The 10,312-nt window shown below is 37.6% G+C and overlaps 1 annotated feature.

Annotated features, from left to right (window-relative positions):
* Positions 9,167 to 9,709: an enhancer, noted in NCBI's record as "NANOG hESC enhancer chr3:104042504-104043046 (GRCh37/hg19 assembly coordinates)". NCBI's record gives its function as "activates a minimal SCP1, AML or CMV promoter by ChIP-STARR-seq in naive H9 embryonic stem cells {active_cell/tissue: H9 hESC(naive)}" and the evidence as "EXISTENCE:reporter gene assay evidence [ECO:0000049][PMID:30033119]".

The raw sequence follows: 10,312 nt of genomic DNA, 5'->3' as shown, positions 1-10,312 counted from the left end.
CTTTGCTAGCAGCATTTTTATTAGGTTCTAAAAATGAAAGACACTAAAGAAATATTGAAAGACAATAAGGAGATATAAGGAAATTCCGGCCAGGCATGGTGGCTCATTCCTGTAATCCCAGCACTTTGGGAGGCTGAGGCAGGCAGATCACCTGAGGTGGGGAGTTCGAGACCAGCCTGACCAACATGGAGAAATCTTGTCTCTACTAAAAATACAAAATTATCCAGGCATGGTGGCGCATGCCTGTAATTCCAGCTACTCGGGAGGCTGAGGCCGGAGAATCGCTTGAACCGGTGAGGCGGAGGTTGCGGTGAGCTGAGATAAAGCCATTGCACTCCAGCCTGGGCAACAACAGCAAAACTTCATCTCTAAATAAATAAATAAATAAATAAATAAGGAAATTCCTTCAATATGTTAGCTTACTCTTCCTCTTCATAATGCCTTAGTAGAGGCAGTTGACTCTAGCCTCCAGATTCTTACAACACTCAAGAAACAGTCTCATTATGCCAACTAAATGGTTTTATCAGCAATTGAGTAGTGTGCCTTATTAATAAGTCTGAATCGCTGTTCATCTATTCTGGTACTTCCCTTATTCTCTTAATTCCATCTCTTCCTTTTTTTCTATGTTTTATTAAAGTATGGCATACAGAAAAGTAATTTCATATACATAGTAAATAAGGTTGGAGCTCACTGAATTTTAACAAAGTGAATGCTTATATGACCAGCATCAAGATCAAGAGACACATATTACTGCTAACCTGGAATGTTACTATATTATTCTTCCTGTTACTTACACTAAGGGTATCGACTATCCTAATATTTTACAGGTTAGATTGATTTTGCAAATTTTTGTACTTTATGTAAATAAATCCTTGTATTAGCCCAGATACAGTTGGTTTCAAGCAGAGAAACAAAGTAAGTAGTGTGTGTATATGTGTGTATATATGTGTGTGTGTATTCCTTGCAATAAATAATATATATAATATATATGTGTGTATAATCTTATTATATGTATAATTTCTTGCAATGAATTGGTTTACATGATTGTGGAGGCTGGATATGTATGGCTGAATTCCTTAGGTGACGATGTTAGAAAAGGAAAACCGAAACTTCCAGACATGGGCTGAAGCTTCAGTCCACATGCAGAATTTATTTTCCCCAGGGAAGCTTCAGTTCTGTTCTTAAAGACTTTCTATTGATAGAATCAGGCCCATCAAGATTATCTAGAAAAATTTCTCCTACTTAAAGTCAATCAATTATGAACTTTAATTACATCTACAAAATATCTTCACAGAAACACCTATATTTGTGTTTTGTTGAATATTGGGGACTACAGCGTAGCTAAATTGACACATAAAACTGACCACTACACTCTCATTTTTGGCTTTTTTCACTCAACATTATATTTGCAAAATTTGTATCTTCTGCCATGTTTTCTTATACTTCATTTAATCTCATAACTGTAGAATATTTTACTGTGTAAATACAGCACAATTTATATTCCCATCCTATTGTCACTGGGCATTTAAGTAGCTTCCAGTTTAGAAATACCATAAATTCTGCTGATAGGAACAATTTACTGCATGACTTTTGGAAACCTGCTATATGCCAATCTGTTGGAATGCATGTGAGAATGTAGTTGCTGAGACATAAGCTCTGTGTATGTTCAAATGTTTTACAAATTACTTGTGTTAATTTACATTCCCCGTAAAAGTGTATTAAAGTTTTGACTTTTTTATATTACCATAAATATTTTGTATTTGACATGCATATTTGTAGCCATCTGGGTGTGTGTGTGTTTCTGTGTGTGTGTGTGTGTGTGTGTGTGTGTGTGTATGGGTCTCATTTTGGTTACAATTTGCAATTCCCTGATGTCTAATGATGTAGGTGATATTTTTGGCAATTTTCATATTCTATGAAATTAGTTTCTGCAAGACTTTTTTGCCTACTTTTCTATTGGGCTTACTGGCTGATTTTATTATTTAATAATATTAGTTTTTTATACATTTTAGATGTGACATTTTCTGGTAGATATATCTCCATCTAGCTAGATAACTAGTTAGATAGTTACATAACAACAATTTGTCCCTCATCTATATTTCTATTATATATCTTTCTTCTTTTGTAAAATTTTTATTTTTAATTTTTTGTGTGTACATAGTAAATGTAGACATTTGTGATGTATATAGGATGTTTTCATACAGCCATGCAATGCATAACAATAATATCATGGAGAATGGTATATCCATTTTCTCAAGTATATATCCTTTGTGTTACAAACTATCCAATTTTACTCTTTAAGTTATATTTAAATGTATTATTAAGTTATTAATGACTACAGACACCCTTTTGTGTTTTCAAATATTAGATCTTATTTATTCTTTCTAAATATTTTCATATCTGTTAACCATCCCCAATTCCTCACCCCCAACTACCCTTCCCAGCCTCTGGTAACCATCATTCTACTCTCTAAGTTCATGAGTTCAATTGATTTGATTTTTAGATTCCACAAATAAGTGAGAACTTGCAATGTTTTTCTTTCTGTGCCTTGCTTATTTCACTTAACATTGATATTCAGCTCCATCCATGTTGTTGAAAATGACAAGATCTCATTCTTATTTTGGCTAAATAGTACTCCATTGTGTATATGTACCACATTTTGTTTATCCATTCATCTGTTGATAGACACTTAGGTTGTTTCCAAATATTGGCTATTGTGAACAGTACTGCAACAAGCATGGCAATGTAGATATCTCTTTGATATATTAATGTCTTTTCTTTTGGATATATACCCAGCAGTTGAATTGCTGGATCATATGGTAGCTCGATTTTTAGTCTTTTTGAGGAAACTCCAAACTGTTCTCTACAGTGGTTGTCATAATTTATATTCTCACTAACAGTGTGGTAGGGTTTCCTTGTCTCCACATTCTGGCCAGCATTTGTTATTGCCTGTCTTTTGTATACGAACCATTTTAACTGGGGTGAGATGATATCTCATTATAGGTTTGATTTGCATTTCACTGATGAGCAATGGTATTGAGCACTTTTTCATATGCCTGTTTGCCATTTGTATGTCTTCTTTGAGAAATGTCTATTAAAATTTTTACCCAATTAAAAAAATTAAACTTTTTTTCATAAGTTATTGGAATACAGGTGGTAGTTGATTACATGATTTAGTTCTTTATTCGTGATTTGTGAGATTTTAGTGCATCCATCACCTGAGCAGTATACACTCCACCATATTTGTAGTCTTTAATCTCTCGCCCCCATCACACTCTTCCCCTCAAGTCCCCACAGTCCATTGTACCATTCTTATGATTTTGCATCCTCATATCTTAGCTTCCACATATTAGTGAGAATATACGATGTTTGGTTTTCCATTCCTGAGTTACTTCACTTAAAATAATGATCTCCAATCTCATTCAGGTCACTGCAAATGCTGTTAATAAATTTATTTTTATGGATGAGTAGATTTCCATCATATATATATATGTGTATATATACATGTATATATATGTGTGTGTGTGTGTGTATACGTATATATATATACGTATACACACACACACACATACCACAGTTTCTTTATCCACTCGTTGATTGATGGGCATTTGGGTTGGTTTCATGATTTTGCTCTCGTGAATTGTGCTGCTACAAACACGCATGTGCAAGTATGTTTTTTGTATAAAGACTTCTTTTCTTCTGGGTAGATACCCAGTAGTAGGATTGCTGGATCAAATTGTAGTTCTACTTTCAGTACTTTAAGGAATCTCCACCCTGTTTTCCATAGAGGTTGTACTAGTTTATATTCCCACTAGCAGTGTAGAAGTGTTCCCTGATCACCACATCCATGCCAACATCTACTGTTTATTGATTTTTTTGATTATGGCTATTCTTGCAGGAGTGAGGTGGTATCACATTGTGGTTTTGATTTGCATTTCCCTGATCATTAGTGATGTTGAAAATTTTTATTTTATTTTTTTGAGACGGAGTCTCATTCTGTCACCAGGCTAGAGTGCAGTGGCACAATGTCGCCTCACTGCAACCCCTGCCTACTGGGTTCAAGCTATTCTCCTGCCTCAGCCTCCCGAGTAGCTGGGACTACAGGTGCGTGCCACCACGCACAGCTAATTTTTGTATTTTTAGTAGAGATGGGTTTTCACCATGTTAGCCAGGATGGTCTCAATCTCTTGACCTCGTGATCCGCCTGCCTTGGCATCCCAAAGTGCTGAGATTACAGGCGTGAGCCACCCTGTATATCTCCTTTTGAGAGTTGTCTATTCATGTCCTTAGCCCACTTTTTGATGGGATTGCTTTTTTTTCTTCCTGATTTGTTTTTGTTTGTTGAAGATTCTGAATATTAGTCCTTTGTCAGATATATAGACTGTGAAGCTTTTCTCCCACTCTGTGGGCTGTCTGTTTACTCTGCTGACTGTTCCTTTTGCTGTGCAAAAGCTCTTTAGTTTAATTAAGTTGCAGTTATTTGTCTTTGTTTTTACTGCATTAGCTTTTGGGGTTTGTTCATGAAATCCTTGCCTAAGCCAATGTCGACAAGGGTTTTTTCAATGTTATCTGCTAGAATTGTTATAGTTTCAGGTCTTAGATTTAAGCCCTTAATCCATCTTGAGTTGATTTTTGTATAATGTGAGACATGAGGATACAGTTTCATTCTCCTACATGTGGGTAGTCAATTATCCCCACTTTATGTTTTTGTTTCCTTGGTCAAAGATCAGTTGGCTGTAATTACTTGGTTTTATTTCTGGGTGCTCTATTCTGTTCTATTGGTCTATGTGCCCATTTTTATACCAGTACCACACTGTTTTGTTAATTATGGCATTATAATATGGTTTAAAATCAGGTAGTGTGATGCCTCCAATTTGTTCTTTTCACTTAGTCTTGCTTTGGCTATGCGGGCTCTTTTTGATTCCATATGAATTTTAGAAATTTTTTTTCTAATTGTTTGAAGAAGCTGGTGGTATTTTGATGAGAAATGCACTGAATTTGTAGATTGCTTTTGGCAGTATGGTCATTTTTACAATATTCTACCCATCCATGAGCATGGGATGTCTTGTATCTGGATACTTTGCTGAAATCTTTTGAGTTCTAAGAGCTTTCTAGAGGAGTCTTTAGGTTTTTCAAGGTAAACGATTATATCGTCAACAAACAGTGACAGTATGACTTCTTCTTTACAAACGTGGATGCCCTTTATTTCTTTCTCTTGTCTGATTGTTCTGGCTAGGACTTCCAGTACTATGTTGAAGATGCGTGGTGAGAGCGGGCATCCTTGTTCCAGCTCTCAGAGGGAATGCCTTCAACTTTTTCCCATTCAGTATTATGTTGGCTGTGGTTTTGTCATAGATGGCTTTTATTACATTGAGGTATGTCCCTTGTATGCCGATTTTGCTGAAGTTTTAATCATAAAGGAATGCTGGATTTTATTTAATGCTTTTTATACATCTATTGAGATGATCATGTGATTATTGTTTTAAATTCTGTTATGTGATGTATCACATTTATTGACTTGCATATGTTAAACCATCCCTGCATTCCTGGTATGAAATCCACTTGATCATGGTGGATTATCTTTTTAATATGTTGTTGGATTCAGTTAGCTAGATCCTGGGCTTTTCTTTTCTCACTGCTTGTTATTGGTCTGTTCAGGGTATCTAATTATTTCTGATTTAAGCTAGGAGGGTTGTATTTTTTCAGGAATGTAGACATCACTTCTAGGTTTTCTAGTTTATGTGTGTAAAGGTGTTCCTAGAAGCTTTGAATGATCTTTTGTATTTCAGTAGTGTTAGTTGTAATATCTCATGTTTCATTTCTTAGTGAGGTTATTTGGATTTTCTCTCTCTTTTCTTGGATAATCTTGCTAATGGTCTACCAATTTTATTTATCTTTTTAAGGACCAGTTTTTTGTTTTATTTATCGTTTGTATTGTTTCTTTTGTTTCAATTTCATTTAGTTCTGCTCTGATCTTGGTTATTTCCCTTCTTCTGCTGGGTTTGGGTTTGGTCTTTTTTTGTTCTTGTTTCTCTAGTTCCTTGAGGTGTGACCTTAGAATTTCTATTTGTGCTCTTTCAGGTTTCTTTTTTCTTTTTTTTTTTAATGTAGGAATTTAGGTCTATGAACTTTCCTCTTCACACTGCCTTTGCTGTATCCCAGAGGTTTTGGTAGGTTGTGTCATAATTGTCATTCAGTTCAAATAATTTTTAAATTTCCATCTTGATTTTGTTTTTTACCCACTGCTCATTCAGGAGCAGGTTATTTAATTTCCATGTATTTGCATGATTTTGAAGGTTCCTTTTGTAGTCAATTTCTAGTTTTATCCCATGGTCTGAAAGAGTGGTTGATAGAATTTCAGTTTTCTAAATTTATTGAGGCTGGTTTTATGGCCTATCATATGGCCTATCTTGGAGAAAGTTCTATGTGCTATTGAATAGAATGTGTTTTCTGTGGTTGTTGGATGAAATGTTCTGTATATATCTGTTAAGTCCATTTGTTCCAAAGTATAGTTTAAACTCATTGTTTCTTTGTTGACTTTATGTTTTGATAATCTGTCTGGTGCTGTCAGTGGAGTAATGAAGTCCCCTATGATTATTATGTTGCTGTCTGTGTCATTTCTTGGGTCTATTAGTAATTGTTTATACATTTGGGAGCTCCAGTGTCAGGTGCATATGTTTAGGATTGTAATATTTCCTCTTGGACGAGGCCTTATACCATTATATAATTTTCCTCTTTGTTTCTTTTAACTGCTGTTGCTTTGAAGTTTGTTTTGCCTGATATAAGAATAGTTACCCTTGGTTGATTTTGGTGTCCATTTGCATGAAATGCCTTTTCCCATCCCTTTAATTTAACTTTAACTGAGGCCTCATGTGTTAGGTGAGTCTCCTGAAGGCAGCAGATAGTCCGTTGGTGAGTTCTTATCCATTCTGCAGTTCTGTATCTTTTAAGTGGAGAATTTAGGTCATTTACATTCAATGTTACATTGAAATATGAGGTACCATTGCATTCATCATGCTCTTTATTTCATGTGTACTTTGGCATTTTTGTTTTTGCTTTTTAACTTGTATTTTTGTTTTATAGGTCCTGTGTGATTTATGCTTTAAAGCGGTTCTGTTTTGATGTGTTTTCAGGGTTTATTTCAAGATTTAGAGCTCCTTTTAGCAGTTTTTATAGTGGTGGCTTGGTAGTGGAGATTTCTTTCAGTATTCGTTTGTCTGAAAAAGACTGTATCTTTTCTTTTGGGGGAGCATTAAGGAGTGGAAAGTTTAATAGACAGAAGAAAGGAAAGAATAGAGCAGTTCCTTGCCAAAGAGAGACAGACATCTGAAAAAGGGGAGAGGTGATGAACTGCAGCAGATTTTATAGGCAGGCTGGAGAGTGCAGTGTCTGATTTGTATAGAGCTCACAGATTGGTTTGATCAGGTATGACTTTTACATAGCGCATGGGAAAAGCTGGTCACCCCATCCTAATCTTCTTATGCAAATGGGCATTCCAGTTGATCGGCACCATCTTGTCTACTCCTTTACAGTACACGTGACTGGCAGAAAAGAGAAGATGGAGCTGCCTTTTGAAAATGTCTAGTTCTTAGTTCCTGCCAGCATTCACCTGTGCAAGCTCCCAGCTTACAAGCTTCTCTTTGTTAGAAAATGATTTGGGGCTGCTTTTCATTAAAAAGAAAAGCCTTACCAAGGACTCCCATGCCCTTGCTATCTGCCTAAGTAATTCCTTCTTAACTTCTGTATCATTCCCCACTCTGGAGTGGTAATCCTAATTGATGTTAGGAGGTGTTGGGTGATGACGCTCTGGCTACTTCCTGCTGAAAAGGGGCATTGTGTGGGGAACAGCAGCTAGGGTTCCTCCTGGGGTTGATCTAAGTGTCCTCGGAAGAAAGGTGTGTACATATGTGGTTCGGTCTGCAGCACCATTTGGAGTTTGATTGCTTCTAGGTGAGAGGAAGTAATTCAAGTTATAGTAACATTAACAATGTTAGACAAGGTCCAAACATTAATATAAAACATATGAATAGGGGGCTTAATGATGGAACTAACCAGGTCCACAGTGAAGATTGGAATTTATTAAAGAGGGATTGTAGCCATCCAGGGCTGGAGACTGCATTTTCTCTTAACCTGCGAATGATTTTCACTTGATCTTTAAGCATCTGTAGGTTTTCTTCGACTTGACTAGAGGTGTTGATCCAGAGGCAGCATGTTTCATTTAAGACTGCACAGGTACCACCTACCTCACCTGTGAGGACATCTAGGGCCCGTCTGTTCTGTGCTACTGCTGAGCCTAAAAAGTATGTGGATTGTTATTGTGCTTCTATGGCTCCTACTGTTGCCTTCCATCCTTGTTGCATCATAATGTAAATATTAAGTAGTGACCTTTTAAGGAGAGGAATAGCAGCAAACCAGAAAAGGCCTCTAGTTATAGAATTCCCCATCCATGGTTTTTCTAAGATGGGATAAGACTGTATCTTTCCTTCATATGTAATGCTTAGTTTCAGTGGACACAAAATTTGGGCTGACAATTGTTATGTTTGAGGAGGCTGAAGATAGGGCCCCAATCTCTTGTAGTTTGTAGGGTTTCTGCTGAAAAATCTGCTGTTAATCTTATATATTTTCTTTCATGGGTTGCCTGGTTCTTCTGTGTCACAGCTCTTAAGATTCTTTCCTTGGTCTTAAGTTTGGATAACCTGATGACAATGTGTCTAGGTGATGATCTTTTTGCAATGAATTTCCCAGGTGTTCTAAGTGCTTCTTGTATTTGGATGTCTGGGTCTCTAGCAAAGCTGGGGAAGTTTTCCTCAGTTATTCCCCCACATGTGTTTTCCAAGCTTTTATAATTCTCTTCTTTCTCAGGAACACCAATTATTCTTAGGTTCTTCATTAAACATAACCCCAGACTTCTTGGAGGGTTTATTCATATTTTCTTTTCTTTTTTCTTTGTCTTTGTTGGATTGGGTTAATTTGAAGACCTTGTCTTCAAGCTCTGAATTTCTTTCTTCTACTGTTCAATTCTATTGCTGAGACTTTCCAGAGCACTTCACATTTCTATAACTGTATCCAATGTTTCCTAAATTTTTGATTTTTTTAAGCTATCTATTTCCTTGAATATTTCTCCCTTCACTTCTTGTATCGATTTTTGGATTTCCTTGCATTGGGCTTCACCTTCTCTGGTGTCTTTCTAATTAGCGTTATAACTAAACTCCTGAATTCTTTTTCAGGTAAATCAGGGATTTCTTTGTTTGGATCCATTGCTGGTTAACTAGTGTGATGTTTTGGGGGGTGTTAAAGAGTCTTATTCTGTCATATTACCAGAGTGGATTTTCTGGTTCCTTCTTATTTGGATAGGTTCTGTCGGAGGGAAAGACTAGGGCTGAAGGCTGTTGTTCAGATTCTTTTGTCTCACAGGGTGTTCCCTTGATATAGTACTCTCTCCCTTTTCATATGGATGTGGCTTCCTGTGAGCCAAACTGCAGTGATTGTTGTCTCTCTTCTGAGCCCAGCCACCCAGCAAGTCTGCCTGGCTCCAGGCTGGTACTGGGGGTTGTCTGCACAGAGTTTTGTGATGTGAACAATCTATGGGTCTCTCAGCCATGGACGTAAGTGCCTGTTTCAGTGGAGGTGGAGGGGAGGTGCTATGGATTCTGTGAGGATTTTTAGCTTTGGTAGTTTAATGCTCTATTTTTGTGCTGGTTGGCTTCATTCCAGAAGGTGGAACTTTCCAGAGAGCATCAGCTGTGTTAGTATGGAGAGGAACCAGCAGTGGGCAGAGCCCTAGAACTCCCAATATTATATGCCTTTTGTCTTCAGCTACCAGGTTAGATAGGGAAGGACCACCAAGTGGGGGCAGGGCTAGGCAAGTCTGAGCTCAGACTGCCCTTGGGTAGGTCTTGCTGCTGCTGCTGTGGGGGATGGGAGTGAGGTTCCCAGGTCAATGGAGTTGTGTATCTAGGAGGATTATGGCTGCCACTGCTGAGTCATGCAGGTTGTCAAGGAAGTGGGGGAAAGCCGGCTGTCAGAGGCCTCACCCAGCTTCCTCTCAAACCAAAGGACCAGTCTCACTCCCACTGTGTCCCCCTAACAGTACCGAGTCTGTTTCCAAGCAGTGGGCAAGTCAAGCTTGAAAACTTGCCTCATGACACCTGCCTTCCAGCTGTGAGAGAAAAGGGCTTAGTTCTTCCCCTGTCCATGGAGTCTGCACACCAGATTTGCACCCTCCCCTGAGTTCTGGTCAGGAGGCTTCTCGCACTGTTCAAGTTGTTACAAAATTCAACTGGATATTTCCTTCTCCCTGTGGTGTTTCCTC

The sequence above is a fragment of the Homo sapiens genome, chromosome 3, assembly GCF_000001405.40.
Source record: "Homo sapiens chromosome 3, GRCh38.p14 Primary Assembly".
In the NCBI taxonomy this organism is placed as follows: domain Eukaryota; kingdom Metazoa; phylum Chordata; class Mammalia; order Primates; family Hominidae; genus Homo; species Homo sapiens.
Note: the sequence above shows the minus strand (reverse complement) of the source record. Positions and strands in the feature narration are given on the sequence as shown.